Genomic DNA, 20058 nt, shown 5'->3' with positions numbered 1-20058 from the left:
CACAGGGTCCTTGTGAGAATTAAGGAGATAGTCTAATGTACTAATGCAGTGACAGGCTATAATAAATGTGAAGTAAACATTAGGAGTTACTATTTTTATATATTTTCATATTATATTTTTATGTATTTTATATTTATATTGCCCCAAACCATACTTGCATACCGACTACTCATTTCCATTTGTTTTTCATTAGGCAAAAAACTAATTAGTGATTCTTAAATGCTGTGGCCTATATTTTTCGGCAGCAACTCAAGGCAACATAAATGATGCTGTACTAAGAGAACACTCACTTGCTTGGCTATCTGAGGATGTGGCATTTTCCATTTAAATCAGTCCTCAGGTGACCTGCCATGGCACCGTGTCAGGGAAGAGGAGGGGGGAAGGTGAGGAGGGGCCAGGGCTGGTGCATTTGTTGAGAACCTGAAGAACAGGGCGGGAGATTTGAGGGCTCCTGGTTTAACCAGAGGTGAGGCCCTGTTGAGGATACTAAGTTCATAAAATGGCTTTATCGTTTCCTACTTTGCATAAATGTTTCTTTAAATGGTTGTATTTTGGGAAAAAAATCACAGTTTTCTGATGAATACAAGCACACATTTTAGAGAGATAAAAATATCTGAGATGCAAATATAACCGGTTTGAAATATATCAACCATGATGAGTTTCCCCCTCATCCTTAAAAGCCTACTTCTGGGTAGCAGAAAGCAAGGCAGCACCACCGAAAATGCAGACCTCACTGGGTTCTGCCAGCTCCTGTCCTCTGTCTGAGGGAGCCCCATGCAGCAGAAAAAAACCCTTTCTACCCTTTCTAGATACTCTGCATTCATGAATCAATCTCCTCTTCCCCATCCTCCTCTCTCCCTCACACACACACACACACACACACACACACACACACACACACACACACACACAGAGTGTCTCAGCCTTAGCTCTGAGCTAAAGTCAGACTGTTATAATTGCCCTCATTAAAAACACCTCTGTCATTTTAGACACTCAAAGAGAAGTATGTAGCTGGCATGGACTCAGTAGAAAGCCATACTCTCTTTAGCTGAAACAGATGTGGGAGTATAAATTACACACACACCCCCACAAGCAAGTTGCTGAGCCTTTATTTACTTCCCCAGGTGTGGAAGAGGGAATAAAGTTCAGACAGAAAATTAAATGCCCATTGCCCCTGAAAGTCAATGCTCTACCCGAGGAGTTTATGATTTAAACAAGACACTTAACGTTGTTTTTTTTTCAGCATCTGTGAACATGTTTTACTCAAATATATCATCATGATTACCCCAAACGTTTGATGTGTCTATGAATGCCTTTTATTAAATGTACAACAATACGACTTTAAGTGGAGTGCCTCCTAGAGCAAAATAGCATAGCTCTTCCAAGCAGTGTGCCTAGGTTCTGCAGACCTTATATTCTGGAGCAGGGGTGTGGAAATACAGGTGTGGGTTGCATAGTCACCAGCTGTTGACGAGTAGTTCCCTGAGGGGCTGGCAGCCATGGGTCTGGCTAATTTCAGGGAAATTTGCTTTGTTATTTTTGGCACAAATGCTAGAGGTCAATATTTGTCCTCAAATAGCAAGAACAGGTTCTAACTCTGGGTCCCCACACAGTAGCCAAACGGAATAATGATTACAAACCCACACATGGACATTACACTTGACTGTATTTATATACATTGTCTCATTTGTTCCTCAAACAGTCCTGTGAATCAGGCAGTGCAAATTCCACCTATCCCCACTTCACAGATGAGAAAATTAGAGCTTCCAAGATTAGTTAATGAGTGAATAAGAAGTGGTAAAACCATGACAAAAACCTTTCTAGACCCAGGCTTCCAAACTCTTATACATGTGCTCTCTTTCTCTCTCTCCCCGCCACTCTCTCTACGAACATCCAAGTGGGATAGACACAATAAGCAAGAACAAAAAATTTTCAGGCCAAAGTAAGTTCTTTTCTCCCAACAAGTATGATTCCTGCTTTTCTGATTTTCTTTTCATTTTAAAAGAACATGAGATGATTACCTCTGATATAAAAACCCTTGGCTCCCCCAGGGAAAGACATTTTTAACACAAGTTCATGAAACAAATATATCTGTCTTTTTCACCTTAAAATACCACCAATAATCACAGTCTATCAAAGCATGTTCAGGTATCCTCTTCATGTTGCTGACTTCCGCGGGAGTAAGGGATGGGGGACGGGGCAGAAAACAGCAAGCAGCGGACCACTTCTGAAATGAGCACACCAGGAAACAGTAGCTCCAAAAGTAAAATGACTTGTCCAGGTTCCTAGGGAGGTTTAGTGGTCAGGGCTTCTGGTCTACCACACACTACCTCCCAGCCATGACCTCCAGATGAGGCTATTGAGATGGGGCTTTGGAATTTTCCAGAGCTTCCAGAGTCCCTCAATGCCATAACAAATTATACAGTGTGACACATGGATGCATTTGTGCACAAACAAACCTAAAGATAAAACTCAGGAAAATGGTCAGAAAGAGCAGGGGAGCCAGCAGAGACTGGTTGGTGCCCAGCAGAGTTTTTAGGGATGAATTTGGAGAGGACAAGAATGAAGTGGAACTTGGAGTGTCTAGGCAGAGGGAATAGTGCTTGCCAAGGCAAGGAGGTAGAAAATGGTCACGGATTGCAGGGAGCTGGACCTAAGGTATGAGTGGAGAAGAAAGAACCATCGGTCCAGGGGCCCTGGCTCAAAGCAAGGACTGCATTCTCACTTGCTAAAGAACTGATGGATTTCAAGCAGGGAGAGGCCATGTCAGGTTTTAGATAGATCCCCCAGAGCTATTTCATGATAAACCTTCAGGGTTGTAGCTGAGGCTCCAAGCAGGTGGAGGCAATGTTAATAGTCTCCTAAGTAGAGTGCAGCGAGGGAAGACCAACTTTAAAATATGCAAAGTAGGCCGGGCACGGTGGCTCAGCCTGTAATCCCAGCATTTTGGGAGGATAAGGTGGGCGGATCACGAGGTCAACAGATCAAGACCAGCCTGGCCAACGTGGTGAAACCCCATCTCTACTAAAAAACACAAAAATTAGCTGGGCGTTTTGGTGTGCACCTGTAATCCCAGCTGCTTGGGAGGCTAAGGCAGGAAAATTGCTTGAACCCGGGAGGCGGAGGTTGTAGTGAGCGGAGATCATGCCACTGTACTCCAGCCTGGCAACAGAGCAAGACTCCATCTCAAAAAAAAAAAAATGCAAAATATCAGGGGGTGAGGAAGGAAGAAGAGGTGGACAGCAGGGGTTCCATGGAGAGGTCAGGCAGGATATGCAAATCTGGGCATTGCCAGCCATTCATGGAAATTAGGGACATTGTTGTGAATGAGAATACTCGAAGAAAGAACATAGAAATGGCAAATCTAGGAAACTTCAACACTGCACTGGGACTGCTGTATAAGGGATCTTGGCTAAATGGGCTTAGGTTTGATGGGCCTTAAGATTTCTGGGAGAGCAGAGGTTGTGGATAAGGGAAAGAGATCAGCTCCCTCTAAATCCTTTCCTGGCACATCACACTCTTCCCTGGGCTTCAGTTTCATCAACTGCATCACTATGGCATTGGACTTGACAATCTCTGAAAGAATCACTTCCAATTTTAATATGCTGTAATTCTAAAGCTCTTCCCAGTAATGTAAATCCAACAACCAGGAAATTTGCTGTGAAGGAAACTCTTGGCTTTAAAATAAGGAGAATTTGCTTGGGACCAAGAATGAAATGTAAATGCTTTATTGGATATACATGTCGTGTAACTGCAAACATCAACTTTCTGATAATGAGGGAAGGACATAAGGAGTTTAGAGACATCCAATAGAATAACTAAACCACTTACACCAAAACATATGTCATGATTTCCACCATAAGTTATGATATAGATGAGTCAGTCTGGGAGAGCTATATTTAGGATTTTAGGAGCCTCTCCCCACTTAATGTCAGAGGATTCCATTTAACTACAGGGAAGAGGAAATTGCTGGTCCAGGCAGTATTTGACATCTCTAGGACTAAGATATCCAGCACATCTGAACAAAAATAGCTGCAAGGACCACCCACCAGCAAGAATGGGGTCCAGAATGTGGCAGGGTCCTTAGGTCACAAGAGATAAAGTGGTGACACACACACTCAAGAAAACAGACACACTAAACAGGGCTTGTTAGAAATGTAATGCCTGGAATCTGGACGCCTATGGTTTGGCGTTGGGGGGTTCTCACTGCTGATGCCATCAGAGGAGGGTCAAGCTGAAGAGGTCTGTGATCCAGAGTGAGGCCTGATGGAGCACAGACCCAGAAAATGGGGAAGTCAAGTCACAGACCAGGACACAAGGAGAGCTAGTACAGCTAGACGGACTGACACAGCAGAGCTGGGCTATGAGGGGAAGCTGAGAGTCACTGACAGGACACGCAGAGACAGAACAAGCTCTGGGACCAACTTCACTGAGTCCCTGCCATGGAACAGCTTTTAGGCCTGAATTGTCACAACCCGCTGGGGTCAGCTGTTGAGCAGCCGCTGTGCACACTCACATGAACCGGCATTGTGGTAAGAGGCTCCTCTCTGCCTGTCTTATTCAGCTCTGTGACGTGACACTTAGCCTCTCTACTGGCCCACGCCATGCTGTTTCTCTGCATGTTGACATAACCCAAGTGGTAGGCTAAATATCACGGGTGAAATTCCACAGCAAGCAGGTTGGTAGATTACAGCTCCTTAGCTCCTTCTGTTCTCAAGGGCAATTATTAGTTTAAGTAAGAGGCAGCGTGCTGATTTCGTTGTCATGAATACAGGGCTGTGGAAATCAAGAATACTTGCCATGTGCGAAGTTGTTTGTTGCCATTCAATCAAAGCATACCCTTCCAGTTTGAGAACAGTGTCATAAGGAGGATGAATAATGATCTTTCTATCCTTACTACAACACCCAAGCCATGACATCATTTCAAGTGTTAGCCAAACTGCTAGACTGTACTCAGCATTGTACCAGGGCCGTGGGGAAAAGCAAATACCACCCTGGGCTTCCAAGCACGAAAATGTCGATGGCAGAGGGGCTGGAACACAACAATGTGAAACCATGAGTAAACTTCATAACGATGACATGGGAAAGAACACTACAGTTGTCCGTAAACAAAAGGTCAGAGAAAGACAACAGTGTAAAATAACAAGATAATGTTGTCTGCCTGTTGATTTAGCAAAGGTTAGGAGTCAAAAGTGCTAGTGCCACTGGCAAGCTGGCAAGAATGTAAGGAACTGAACACTTTTATACACTGTCAGGTACAACCTTTGTGGGGGACAATTGAGCACTATATGTCAGAATTTTTAGTATTTAGACTTTTTGACCAAGCCATACCTCACCTTAGGATTTATCCTCAGAAAATAACTTGCACAGGACAAGTGCACAACCATATAAGTTCCAAGATGCTCATCCCAGTGTTTTATGAAGTAGTAAAAAATTCTAAGTAAATTAAATGGGATCTGGTAAAGGAAATGATGATATAATCCATGATGAATACTATGCAGTCATTAAAAAATGATGACATATTCTACCTTTATTGGCATAGAAAGATACATGATATGATGTTAAGTGAAAAAGTTGCTTCAACACAAAATGTGTATATGACATATTTATCTCTATGAAGATAGGATCATATTCCCATATCTGTAAATATGCACAGGTAAAGAAATAGGCCTAGAAAGCAGTCACCAAAATGTAACCATGATTTCCTCTGGGGGTGACATTAGATTTATAATTTTCAGGTTTTTTCTGAAGTTTTTAAATAATGAACATATTTTAGTTTCACAGAAAAACAAGGCTACAAAAAAAGTATAATAATAGTGGGCAATGTTGCAGTTACTACATATGTTAGGAACACAAAGAAATTAAACCCAAAGAACTGTGGAAAAGTTAAAGAGAACTTTTCAGTAGAGATGACCAGTATTCTTAATAGCTCCAAAGTCATTTTTTAATTAGGACAGATTCAATTTCTGTATGTATTATTCTGGCTTTCAAACTCAGTGGGTTATAACCTATATCTCGGTTAAAACAAAATGTTTTTAGCCCAAAGTAGATAAGGTTATAAACCCATCAAAACCTATGACTTTTTAAAGGCTCCAGGAACCCAAAAAACTAAGACAAAGAAATATGTATAAAATCTATTTAGTTTTTTGGAAAGAGGAAACCAAATGACTACAAAAATATCAACTCCAAAAATACCAAGAAAGCTTCAATGGGGGGAAACAGAGAGGAAAAAAAAATTGGCATATGGATGTCAAAAATCCAGTGTCAAAGAGGTTTTGAAAACTGGTCGTGCGTCACCAATTATATATATCCAAGATCAGTGTGACAGATGCTCATTTCCAAGAGCAATGGGAAGCTTTTTAATGCCCTAAAAATCTCTTTTCAGTGACTGACTGATAATATAACTGTCATGTGGGTTTTTTATTCATTTAATTATTGGAAACCAAATTCTGACCTAGGAAAAAGAAGGAAGAGAGATATAGCTGTAAATGGCAATTAGATCAATTCATATCTAAGACATGTTTTACAGATAATTGTCTTTTCTTCTCACCTCCAGGAAAAGCACAAAGAAGAAACTGCAACAATGGCCAAGCTGACAGAATCCATGAGTGAGTAGCTTCAAATTTATTATTTATTTTTTGTTTTGAATGGGAAAATGCAAAATCGCACAAAAAAGACATCCCGTGTGATGATCTGATTTGTCCTTCTCTTTTGCTCTTACGGGACCGAGATCTGTTTCACACACACTGCATCATGTTGATGTTACTTTATGCGTTATTTGGAGTTCATCTTGCTTGAGGTCAAATTCTTTGCTGAAGCTGTTACCCACAGTATGGAGCTGAAGAATAAAAATAGATTTTGTTTGTAACACTGCATTGGGGATTGGGACTCACAATAATTTCAACCTGACTTTTAGGAGGTTTAGTCAAAGTCAGCTGAAGTTTTTTCTGGGCATCTATTCCACGGGCTGGATGATCTAAAGAGAGGAAAGAATGGTAAATCATTGTTAAACCTTTCAGGTGTCGTTCAGAAATTTCAGACAGAACTATTAAAAAATGGAGTGCTTGCAGTATAAATAGCTTGTAATGATTTAGGTTTTGAACATAGCGTTATAGTGCTCTTAAGCTAAATAAACAGGATACACAAAGCATTTTTAAGAGGAAAGGGGGCTGGGCACAGTGGCTCATGCCTGTAATCCCAGCACTTTGGGAGGCTGAGGCGGGCAGATCACTTGAGGTCAGGAGTTCAAGATCGGCTTGGCTAATATGGTGAAACCCTGTCTCTACTAAAAATGCAAAAATAAGCTGAGCATGGTGGTGCATGCCTGCAATCCCTATTATGGCTATTCGGAAGCTGAGGCAGGAGAATCACTTGAACCTGGGAGGTGGAGGTTGAAGTGAGCCAAGTGTACTCTAGTCTGGGCAGCAGAGCAAGACCTGGTCTCAAAATAAAAGATAAAAATAAAAAAGGAAAGTGGAATTTATTAGAATAAAGCCTTCTTCAAATGAGAAATGCAGTTTTCTATGATGAAATCTAATTATTAAAGACCATATGAATATGAAATACAAGGCATATTTTTTTCCTTTGAAAAATGGAAATTTCTCCTGATGATAGATTTCATATGGAAAGTTACAATGGAGGCTTACGAACACTTCTCCATGAACACCTTATTAAATTTGGCCTGCAAAAATTAACCATTAATGTTGCCCACATTTAACTGTGCACCTTCCTCCTCCTCTAATCATGAGACTATTAAATACAGGTCTTCCTCTGTAGCATGGTAAGTGAATCTTTATTCCAAAATATCCACCCATACCAAGAAAATATAACGTTAAAAAGTTATTTACATTGATTTCCTTTCATTCCTGACCCCAAACCTCTGTGTAATTTTACATAAGTCTTGAACACATGCTAATTTCACTGTGATGAAAGGACTGGGTAAAGAAAAAAATCCCTTCAGCACTGACACCCCTCTCCCCTGCTCTTATTTCTGTATCATCTCCTGCCCTGCTCTCTGCTCCGTCCTTTTTTTCCACCTGTAGTCTTGCAAACTGAAAATGTTAAAAGAATTTACAACTTGGTTTGAAAAACCCCAAACTGGTTGTATTAGTCCATTCTTGCACTGCTATAAAGAATTACCCGAGACTGGGTAATTGATAAAGAAAAGAGGTTTCATTAGCTCCACAGTTCCACAGGCTGTACAGGAAGCATGGTGCTGGCATCTAATCAGCTTCTGGGGAGGCCCCAGGAAACTTACAATCATGGTGAAGGGCAAAAAAGGAGCAGGCATGTCACATGGCCAGAACAGGAGGAAGTAGGGGGAGGGGGTTCCATACACTTTTAAACAACTGGATCTCTCGAGCACTTACTCAGTATCACTAGAGCAGCACTGAAGGGGAAATCCGCCCCCGTGATCAAATCATCTCTCACCAGGCCCCACCTCCAACATTGGGGGTTACAATTCAATATGAGATTTGCATGGGGACACAGAGCCAAATCATATCACTGGTTCTCTGTAAGTGAAAGCATCCTAAAGTGATGAAATGTGCTCTTCTCAGACCTGGAATGAAAGAATGTGGCCAGTGCCATCACAAAATGGACCAGCCTGTATTGTCCAAATATGCAGTGGATCCGTGGGCCTTATCAACTAATTCACAATCCACAGCACATGAGCAGATTTCTTTCTAATCTTTAAGTCCAAATTCGCCACGTTCTCTAAATGACAGGAGGATCAGTGGCTTAGAACCTAAGCATCATTGTCCATGAATGGAGTCTCAGGTGTCTGGGTGAATTACATCAGATGGTGTTGCACATAAGTTATGATGCTAACAGTTTTCCCAAGGCTTCCTTCTGTTGGAAATGGATACTCTGGTTCAGTGAATATTATTTTTAACTCACCTGACTGAATTGGAAGGGTACCGTACTGATTAATATTTCTGATAAAGCTATTTTTATTTTTCCATCTATATTGGTTTCCAGATACATTTAAATAAGAGCTCTTCACCTGACTATCGATTTATTGGTTTTAGGTTTCAGGTTTGGCTGAACAATATCTCTAATGATTTTGGTCTGTGAATCAACTGTCATAAGAGAATTCTATCAAAGTTGAATTCCGAATCCTTGGGTCAATGACTGGGTGCACCCATTCTTCTAATGTGCTCTGTCATTATGAAAAAGATTGCATAAATGTTTCTCAATGCATAAGGAAATTTAAAAGTTGAGAACAGACCTTAGAGTCGTACCCAATGTCCGAGTTTATTGGTCCTTACAAAGATACAGCAAATTATAAAATATATAAGATGTGAGGCAACTTCTATAGATGCTACAAAATGCTAATCATGTGGTCAACATACCAAACATTTCATTTAAATTAAACTCATGACTAATTAAATATACCACACACTTATTTTACATAGAAATCTACAATGAAATACATAATTAGGTAAGGATATTCTATCAGTAGGCTGAGCAAAGAATTAACATATAATTACCACACAATAAAATTGATGGGAACATAAACCATGGCCACACTCTGGAAGAAAAAAAAAAAAACAGACAGAACCATGAATACCCAAAACACAATGCTATGAATGGGTTTCCAAAGCCAATAAACACTTTGCTTGTTAAACTGCCAAGCAAAAACCATCTGGTTACTAGAACATCTCTATGTTTAACTAGAACTGGATAGAGATTCTTCTCCCATCACCCTAGGTGTCCACATGCTAGCAAATGGCTAGCCACATCAATGGCTAAGCAAATACCATAATGGGAAAGGAATGTCTTCTTCTAGAGCAGGGAAGAGGTGCATTTCTTTCCGCTACGTGCCATTCATCAACCACCTCCAAAAAGTCAACTTCGATCATTTTTTTAAGGGCAAGCAAGAGATAGATTTTAAATGTTTGATTAACATTAGCAAATTTTAAATGTTTGAATAAAACCACCTTTATTTTTCTGACGACTTTGCTGTGAAAAAAATTACAGCAACTTTAATACATTAAAAATACTTTAAAATATTTTACGTCACATTATTGAAACGAGGACGGGCATGATAAGGATAAGAAAAAAAATGGAGAAGGGAAGAAAAGTAGATGTGGAAGAAGAGATAGAGAAACAACAAAAACACGCACAAAGCATAGAGAAAATATATGTACGGTATATGATGAAAGCCCAAGAGAAGGGGGTATTGAGGAGGACCGAGACAGAATTACAAGGAGCAAAGACAAGACAGGTAGGCAAAGAGGGAGAGGAGGTAGGGAGAGATTTAACAAAGAGAGGGTCCATGGGGTCTAAAAATTAGCAAACTAAGTGTGGCAGTTCACAGCCTGTGAACTTTCAACCTTCCAAAGGCTGCCAATTTTTTTAAATCTTTTTTTATATATAATACTTTAAGTTCTGGGATACATGTGCAGAACGGGCAGATTTGTTACAGAGGTATACACATGCCATGGTGGTTTGCTGCACCCATCAACCCATCATCTACATTAGGTATTTCTCCTAATGTTATCCCTCCTCTGGCCCCCCAACCCCTGACAGGCCCTGGTATGTTATGTTCCCCTCCCTGTGCCCATGTGTTCTCATTGTTCAACTTCCACCTATGAGTGAGAACATGCAGTGTTTGGTTTCCCGTTCTCGTGTTAGTTTGCTGAGAATGATAGTTTCCAGCTTCATCCATGTCCCTGCAAAGGACGTGAACTCATCCTTTTTTATGGCTGCATGGTATTCCATGGTGTATATGTGCCACATTTTCTTTATCCAGTCTATCATTGATGGGCATTTGGGTTGGTTCCAAGTCTTTGCTATTGTGAACAGTGCCACAATAAACACGTGTGTGCATGTGGCTTTATAGTAGAATGATTTATAATCCTTTGGGTATATACCCAGTAATGGGATTGCTGGGTCAAATGGTATTTCTGGTTCTAGATCCTTGAGGAATCGCCACACTGTATTCCACTATGGCTGAACTAATTTACACTCCCACCAACAGTGTAAAATGTTCCTACTTCTCCACATCCTCTCTAGCATCTGTTGTTTCCTGACTTTTTAATGATCACCATTCTAACTGGCTTGAGATGGTATCTCATTGTGGTTTTGATTTGCATTTCTCTAATGACCAGTGATGATGAGCATTTTTTCATATGTTTGTTGGCTGCATAAATGTCTTCTTTTGACAAGTGCCTGTTCATATCCTTCACCCACTTTTTGATGGGGTTGTTTGTTTTTTTCGTGTAAATTTTGTTTAAGTTATTTGTAGATTCTGGATATTAGCCCTTTGTCAGATGGATAGATCGCATCAAAAAGTGGGCTGCCAATTTTTTAACACTACCCTTTGAAATGTTAATCTCTATTTGCATCTTCACAGTGGATATTTTCATACTTAGACTACCAGAAGCCCATTCCAAATGAGGCAACCAGAAAGCCCACACTGGAGGGTTAGGGTTAGGGTTAGGGTTAGGGTTAGGGTGACTCTCAGCTTGCTCGCTGGTAACCAGCACTTTACCACTACACCCACTGACTGAAATGAAACTGAAAGCCTGATTCTAGTGGAGGCTCCCAATATTGTCTAAAGACAGGCATGCAGTGACCCAAACCGTGCCATCATCAGAGGTGACACAGCCTAGTAGACTCTGTCCTGGCCTCTCAGATGATGACAAATTGGAGATGTCCAGAGGCAGGCAAATAGCCCGAAAGCTCTGAATCATGGTCTGCATGGAATACTTTGCAGGCTGTTCTTACATAAATTTCCAAAGGTAATTTTCTTCATGGTCATTGTCTGCTGACACATCACTGCCCTCCAACCTTGGAGGTCCTGGGAATGCATCAAATACAGCGCAGGAAGTCTTGCCACATGGTTTCATTGATATTTAAATTGTAATCAGATATCTGGTCTTGTGCATGGTGTTGGAGTTGCAAGAGTTGAACAGGCAGTGGACTTGGCCCTGATGTCTTCTCCTGGCTGCAGGATCCCTTCCCTAGGACCCCCCACCTCCAACCTCAGGGTTCTGCTGGCAAGCTGAAATCACACTTCTGTCCCCTTCTCTGCATCAGTTGTGTGTCTGCCATGCATTACTGCATCAGTAAGTGGGGGCCGCCTGAGCTACCTGTGGCTGTCTCTGCATCTTGGCAGAAGGAGTTGGCTTCCTCTTGCTTTCTGTCTCTATCCTGCCAGTCTCTCTCAGGCATGCCCACTCCCCACTTTTCCTTGGCAGCCAGAGCGTCCCTAGGGGTTGTTGTCATGAGCCATTCTACCCCAGCCATCCCTTTGGGCATGGTCCACCTTGAAATCACCACCATAACACATCCACATGGAGCAGAGAAGAGGTACTCATCATTTCCAAATAAATAACAGAGCAGCAGCTTTATTCTGAGTAGCTCCAGGGGCTGAATCTTCATCCAGCCAGAAACAGGCAAAAAGACTATGGTTTCTTTTTCTGCAAAGAGTCAAGGACCTGCTCTGTGAGGGGTTCAGAGGTCTTGGCTGTCTGCTTTGATATAGAGGGAATTCCTCCTATGACTAAAGAAACAGCTCAAATTTAGTACAGATTTGAAATGCTGTTGTGTCAGATGAAATGAAGACAGAGAACCAATTACAATCACCACACATTAAATTAGCTCAATTAAAGCAGAGTGGTTTTTAATCATTTATTCCCTTTTTTATGGGGTGGTTATTATAGCTCTGGCATTGTGTTAAGGCACAGAAAGACAAAAAGATGGGGTTCCTGCCTGCACCAGGCGCAACATTTGGGGGCAAAGGAGGCAAGAGAGTAACAGCTATGACATGTGGCATGCGTTCTTGCAGAAGCATCCTGTAAGTCGCTGTAGCTTGCAGGTGCAGGCCACGAGGCTTTCCTTTTACAGACCCCAGTGTGCTCCTGCATCAAAAAGGCACCCAAAGGATGATCAGGGTTCCACCAGGCAGCCAATGGGACTGTAAGTGCTAGAACGTCATGCAGGAAGACAGAGGTGGCGGAAGAGCAAAGCATTGATAGCAGATGACTGGGCAGATAGGAGAGGTCAGATTATAAAAGGGCCTGTATGTGGCTTGAATTTTTCCTGTGGGTAATGGGGCAGTGCTGAAGGTTTCAAAGAAGATCAGCATTTTAGAAGGAATCCACTGAGGCATCATGGCGTGGATTGCAGGTTGGGCATACACGGATGAAAGAATCCAGGAGCTGGCACACCACATGAGCTGAGAGGCTCTGGGGACCTAGACAAGAGTGGATCTGAAATGAATTTAAGAGGTGGTGACCAGTGGGATGTAGTGGAGGACAAGAAAGGACTTTGAGCTTAGGAGAGAGGCTTGGCGAAGCTTTCGAGACACCCCAGGGCTAGAAATGCAGGTGGTAGAAGGAGTCATTTGATAAGCTGTTACAATTGGTTCAAATGCAAATATATTGAGTTTAGGGTTTTCCATTGTTAGGCACAGGCTTCAGTTGTTTGGAGTTATTTTTGGTCCACAGTCAGTGTGCCTTTTGGGAAAGAACTCCCTACTCTCTAGGATACAAATAGGGCAGGTGTGTGTATATCAGTGGCATGAGGCTAAGTTATGTTGCAATAACAAAAACATCTCTGTGGCTGAATGTACATGCATATGCACACACGTTTATTTCTCCTTTATGCCACTTGTCCACACTGGTCAGCCATGAACTGGACATGTTAGGGTCACCCTGGGACCCCCACAGTCTCGGAGGCTGCATCTCCACCTGCGTTTTCACATCCATGGCCATGGTGGGGAAGAGCACATGGTATATTGACACTGCATCTTAAAATTCCATCCAGAAGTGACACATGACACATGTCACTTCTGCTCTGATTGCATTAGCCAAAGCAAGTCAATAACCTCGCCTAACTTCCAAGATGAAGGGGGCACAATTCCACTCTGTGTTTGGAAGGAGGATGTATGGTCACCAGAAGACAGAGGGGCTGAACTGCATGCTAGAAATTCCGAGAAGTCAGCCGGGTGCAGTGGCTCATGCCTGTAATCCCAGCACTTTGGGAGGCTGAGGTGGGTGGGTCACCTGAGGTCAGGAGTTCGAGACCAGCCTGGCCAACATGGTGAAACCCCGTCTCCACTAAAAATACAAAAATTAGCTGGGCATGTTGGCACATGCCTGTAATCCCAGCTATTCTGGAGGCTGAGGCAGGAGAACTGCTTGAACCCGGGAGGTGGAGGTTGCAGTTAGCCAAGATTGCGCCATTGCACTCCAGCCTGGGCAACAAGAGTGAAACTCCATCTCAAAAAAAAAGAAAAGAAAAGAAATGCCGAGAAGCCAGACTGGGGGACAGGGAGATAATCTACTCTCAGCAATGGCTGGGGACCACCACTACCTCTAGGTCATAGGGATGGAAAGGGGCGACAGAATTGGAACGACAGCCTACCTGTCTGATGAAAGCTTGAGCCATGCAGGAGGTATGGTCACTGCCAGAGACGCCTCTATAGGCCAAGAAGAGGGAGAGAAATACCTTTGTTCTCTCTTCCCACCGACCTCCAGGCTCCCAGTGGAGCCCCCACTGGCTAAGCCTATCTGGATGTCAGCTGACAGAGCTTCCCCGCCCCCCACCAGATACAGAGCTGAGCAGGTTAAGGGTGAGGCAGGGACCTGAGGACAGACAGACCAGGATGGGCACGGGGAAAACCTGAGTTGACCGTCAGAGAGCAGATGACTGCCCCATGCCTCCAGAACCACCTGCCTACAAAGACAAAGCCTGGGTCCCAGCAACCAAGACAAAGAGCCAGGAAAGCAGGTGTCAGAATTCTAGATGGGAGCCCATTCATCCGGAGGTCCCAGGGTTCCTGACAATGGGAGAATCCTGTAGATTTCTGTAGATCCTGTAGCTGGGCTGGGAGTTAAGGGCCGAGGAAGACGTTGTGTCACCTCACGCGGGGCAGAGCTGTTCATCGTATATGGTCTTTAAGGTGCTAAATGACCCTTTATCCCCCGGGACAAAAGCTACTCCAGGCCCACTAGATGGTGCTTTTTAAAATGCACTTTCTCCCTACCAATGAAATTTAGGCACTTTAAATACTAAGATCCTTATCTCAGGTTCACACTCACACAGGTAGTTATAGCATCATCTCAAAAGTAACTTGACTTAAACTCATTACTCTTGACAACTCAGTTCCTGCCATTACATATTTTAAGACATGGCTGTGATGTTTTATTTCTGATTATTGTCTAATGAGCTCTGCAGTGACAACCACCCAGGAAAACATTGCTATGTCCCTACCAGAGGCATACTTCCTTTATAAAGGAGGTTTGGGGTCTTCTTAAAGTCCCACAGGGACTCCATCCCCCTCAGCTGTCCATCAGTGTGCCTTCTACTGTCCCTGCAGAATGGTACTTACTTCCCTCTACTGCCTTTCTTCTCTCCAAAACCTCCCTTCTCATTTGCCTTCCTCTTCCATAGTGGGCAGGTATCACTAAGGCTGCCCAGTCTCTCCCCGCAAGACCGCCTTCTGACAATTCTCCACTTCCCCTCCTTGCGCATTCCCCTGCCTCCTTTGCCCCAGGACCGTGTGCCCCTCCTGCAGGGTGAGCTGAGCTAGGTGAGCTACAGGACTGGAGGCAGGTGCAGGTTTTGAGTTGCCAGCACAGGTACTAACAGAAGCAGTCATTCCCTTACCAAGAGCTTCTGCCATGTACTTCTGGGAACAGGTCCTGAAGGCCAACCTAGAGGCGGGTTTTCATGCTCTCCTATGGCTCCAAGAGCTTTCCTTCACCACCCCTGTCTGCTCATGCTTGCCAAATTGCCTCCTGTCATCTCAACTTGTAACTGAGGGATTCAGCCTCTCTTTTGTTATTCATTGCTGGGTTACCTGCAGGACCAGGGGAGTGAGGCACTCAGTGGATACTAAGAAGGGCTGGCTGGGAGCAGCAGCAGAAACTTCGTTTATGCTTCTTCATCACATTAGTGCAGTCCCTGTACAATGTATCATTTCAGTCCCACCATTAGGCAGAAAAGCAGCCTTTGATTGAAAGCAAAAGCAAGCTAGTAGGCTCTTCCCTGTCTGTGCTCCTCTGAAAAGCTGGTATTTTTTCACTGTGAGATACGTTTGTCCTTACTGGAAAATATCTTTTAAACTCAAGGATAATTGCTTCCTGGTTGAGATTACAGGCATGTTCAGTTGGAATCAGAGATCCTACCTACCTCTGAGGCTGACAGGGCTGAAATGGACTAGAAGGCCTGAGCCATGTCTCCATGCAAGGGGGGCTTCCCGCCTTGCCTGCTCTCCCTTCTTCTCCCTCCCATGTCCCTCAGGGTGGGACTTTCTTGATCCTGTAGTTTTTATTTGCTGCCTCCTGCACTCACTGCCCAGGATCTTCCCCCTAACGGCCATTTCCAAATAAGAATGCAATTCCCTCCCTTGCCATATCCAGAATGAGCATGTGGCTTAAAGCATTTAACTGGTACAAACATGCAGGGGTTTGCAAAACAGCAAAATTTTAGAACCATCACGCGTGACATTCCTGTAAGTTATTACTGGTCTTTGTGCAAATGGAAATGGGGCTAAAACTGTTACCTAAAAATTCATCTCCTTTCTTTCTGCTGTCTTGGAGATCACGTTGCCCCTCACCTTCTGATGAATGTCCCTTACTTGGTTGGTAAGAAACTCACCTCTCTGATGCCCACACCTTCTCTCTGGCACTGGGAAGGAATGAACTGGGCTTTCTCAGCGTGGCCACCAGTGAGATTTGTCAGCTGTGTAATTCTTGATGTGAATTGTAGGATGATCAACTTGACCTCAACCCACCGGAAGCCAGTAGCACCCTCCCTCTAGGTATGACAACAAGGTGACTTCAGACATGTCTAAATTTTCCCTGGGGGAGCAAAGTCACCCCCAGGGGAGTAGTTGAAAATCAATGCTGTAGATGAAACCAGGAAGGAAGAGGAAGGCCAAACAGACCCAGGCATTTATTCTTCTGCAGTAATGGCAGGATTTGCTAGTCAGTCTCAGACCCTCCCTAGGCCTGTGGTCTCCAGGCTACGGCCTCCCACCTTCCACTTGCCTAACACTGGGATGATCAACCTGAACCACTCCAGGAAGCCACCAGGAGAGTCTGTCTGGTCAGCCACCTGACTGTGGAGACAATTCAGACATAAGAATCTGTATTTAATTGATGATCTGATTGAGGCTCAGAAAGATGCACTGATTTTTCCATCGTGATGGTGTTGTCGGGGAGTTGGAAATACCACTGCCTTGGGGACTGACAGACACAGGAGAGCAGGAAAGTGGGCAGGTGGAGGAGGCGGGGACCCTGATTCTGAGCAGAGCTGGCCATTTTCTCCCAGAACATGGAACGAGAGTGTCATTCTTTCCACAACAGCAGGTTTTAGGGCCTGCCCGATGACTTCCTCAATAATAATTTTTCTCACTCATTTTGCCTTTCCAAGTTATTGGTAATGGAAAGCCCGGCTCTGGGGCAGCTATGGACCTTTTCACTTGGTTCCATTTGCCCCCATCTCGGGGGCACCCCTGCGTGGGCAAAGCCTCCATGGAGCATTTCACTCCAGTGTCTTCCTCTCTCGCATGGGTTCACAGGGACTTTGGCCTTCCTCATTTGCCACTCCTCTTACAGAAAGTAATCATGGGCAAAGCAGCTGTTCACAACATGAGTCACTGCATTACCAGCCCAGCTTGGCAACTCAGACACAGAGGCCTGAGCCAGGCGGCCACCATCATCACTGGGGCCACAAGCTCCACACACCTCTGCCTCTGTCTCCATCACTGCCCCCTGGCCCCCACACACCCAGCAGCAGGATGTGTTCCCAGCCCCTTCCAAGCCAGTGGGGTGCCCAGGTGACATCCAGGAGCCCCAACCAAACCCAAGTGCAGAAGCACCTCTCCAAAGCTGGAGGCCCCCAGCTCCCAGAGGGAACATGAAAGGCACCTACCCCCACTTGCCTTTGCTCCAGCCCAAAGTAGAAAAGTAAATAAACACATTTTTAAACTCTCTTGCCTCACACTTCCTCCGCTCGCCTTCCCCGCCTCCCACCAACTGCCACCCCATCTCACTGTGTCTCACTGTCCCTCCCGCCCTCCTCCCACAATCTGCCACCTGGCTCCAAGAGCCCGCTCCTCCCTCCCACCACCTCCACCCCTGGTTCAGGCTCCATCCCCCACCTCCCGCCACTCCCACTTCTGCTCATCCTCCCATCAACCTCTGGTAACAGCAGGTTCTACCCAGGCAAGGCAGAGGGCAATAGGAGAGGAAGTCTCCCCCAGGATGGCACAGGCCCTGGGTTAGGCTGCATGGCTGGATTTTGGGGTGCCAGCCTTTCCCTGCACCCTCAGAGAGCAAACAAATGGCCATGCAAACAAATGGGACCTGCAAACAAATGGCCATTTGGAAGAGATGCCCAGATGTGTGGCCAAGAGAAAAGCTGGAGGGTGCAGGGTAGACAGCCTGGAGGGTACAGAGTAGATGGCTAACTCATCAGGGAAGCGTGGACAGTCCACAGCTGGGAGAAGGCAGCATGTTTAGGAAGCGCTGAGCCTCAGCCTCAGCTCTGGAAATTGAGTGAGCAGATGGTCAGAGGGAGCAGCAGAACACTGAATTTTAAAGGCTGAAACTCCGCAGAGCGCAGCTACGAGGGTGGGGAGGACAGCCTGCCACGCAGAGCCATGGGCCTCTCCCGGACCGGGACTGATGCAAACACCTGCTTGGAGGAATTTGCTTTTCACCTCATGCAGCCCGCTTTGCCTCATGTTACTTTGTCACCGAAAGGAAACTGATCTCTTCAGGGACTTTTCATCAAGAATCCATCACCCCCCAGCTCCCAGGCCTGCCTTCTCCCTGGTGACAGGTGTGTGAGCTGGGACAGCCCACAGGCTCCCTGAATTCAGCTGGGGAAGGGAAGCAGGCCGGGGAAGCACCCTGGCTTCCAGTGCTGCGGGGAATTAAACTCAGATGAAGGTGGATGGCACCAGTGGGAGAAAGCCACCTCCTCGATGGCTTCCCAGAGAGGAAAAAGTCAAGGCGTCCGGGATGTTCAGCAGTAAAAACATCACCACCTACACCCCGGTGTGCTTTCCTGATTCCATGTCACCTTTATCACAAGATATGACATTTCAGGCTCAAAGGTGTTGGGGGTTGGGGATATCTACATGTTTAAATATTGACTCAGAATTTCTCTGCAGCCCAGAATTGCATTCATAAAGGCTTCTCCACAATTAGCACAACATCCCTGCCGTCCACAGAGGGTGTAGTGCTTATCAGGTGAGGCACGTCAGTGTGGCCTTAAGAGACAGACAGAGCTGATCTAACTGTGGCCCAGCCACCTCCTAGCTGTGAGGCTACAGGCAACTCACTTAACCCCTCTGGTCCGAGTTTCTGCCACTGATCATACCAGCTCCCCACCTGGGTTTCATAATATACACAAAGCTAATGGGTATGTGCACATGTGTGCTAATATGTATATTTATACATATATAAATATGTATAACTGCATTTGATTATGTTCCCTGTGTATATAAACTAACAGATACACTGAAAGCTGAGAGAGAGATAATATATTCATATATTGAAAACTAATATATAATGCATATAAAACATGTAACATAGCAACTGTCCCATATCAGGCACTCAAACAAAGGTGAAAATGACAAAGTATCATTATCTTCCATACCTTGTTTTACTTACTATTCTCAACTCAAGCCCATTATAATAATATTCATATTGTTGAGTTTTATCACCTTGTACTGTATTCAACCCTTTTAAAGACTCGAGGTTAAAAAAAAAACCCAAGGGTTATGATGTCACTCTATGATTTTATAAATTTCCATTAGGTACTAAAAAATTCTTGTTGATCGATTTCTACTACTTACGGGATTTGGATATGTGGTGTTTGTTACCTGCAGTACGTTTATTCTGACAAGTAACACTGCACCTTACACCTGAAATCTCATTGTTGCCAGAGTATACCTGTGGGTTTCATTGCTAAATACTAGTGATCTTTCCTGCCAAATATGCAAGTGCTTCCCTCCTGGTACCACACACTCCCCTTGGACAGATGGGGATATAGAGGGTGATTGCTTCCTGGACTCACACAGTCCAGCTC

At 44.3% G+C, this 20058-nt stretch overlaps 1 protein-coding gene across 1 annotated transcript in view, besides 2 other annotated features; it reads left to right on the top strand.

Moving 5' to 3' along the window:
- KCNJ6 (potassium inwardly rectifying channel subfamily J member 6) overlaps positions 1–20058 on the top strand; it is a 309085-nt gene that overhangs the window by 69192 nt on the left and 219835 nt on the right. The window contains exon 2 of the mRNA NM_002240.5: positions 6557–6608. Within this exon, the coding sequence (NP_002231.1) occupies positions 6584–6608 (25 nt within the window). The 5' untranslated portion in view covers positions 6557–6583. The remainder of the gene's footprint in view (positions 1–6556; positions 6609–20058) is intronic.
- Positions 17461–18183: an enhancer, noted in NCBI's record as "H3K4me1 hESC enhancer chr21:39201385-39202107 (GRCh37/hg19 assembly coordinates)". NCBI's record gives its function as "activates a minimal SCP1, AML or CMV promoter by ChIP-STARR-seq in naive H9 embryonic stem cells {active_cell/tissue: H9 hESC(naive)}" and the evidence as "EXISTENCE:reporter gene assay evidence [ECO:0000049][PMID:30033119]".
- Positions 18184–18906: an enhancer, noted in NCBI's record as "H3K4me1 hESC enhancer chr21:39200662-39201384 (GRCh37/hg19 assembly coordinates)". NCBI's record gives its function as "activates a minimal SCP1, AML or CMV promoter by ChIP-STARR-seq in naive and primed H9 embryonic stem cells {active_cell/tissue: H9 hESC(naive and primed)}" and the evidence as "EXISTENCE:reporter gene assay evidence [ECO:0000049][PMID:30033119]".

The sequence above is a fragment of the Homo sapiens genome, chromosome 21, assembly GCF_000001405.40.
Source record: "Homo sapiens chromosome 21, GRCh38.p14 Primary Assembly".
Lineage (NCBI taxonomy): Eukaryota > Metazoa > Chordata > Mammalia > Primates > Hominidae > Homo > Homo sapiens.
Note: the sequence above shows the minus strand (reverse complement) of the source record. Positions and strands in the feature narration are given on the sequence as shown.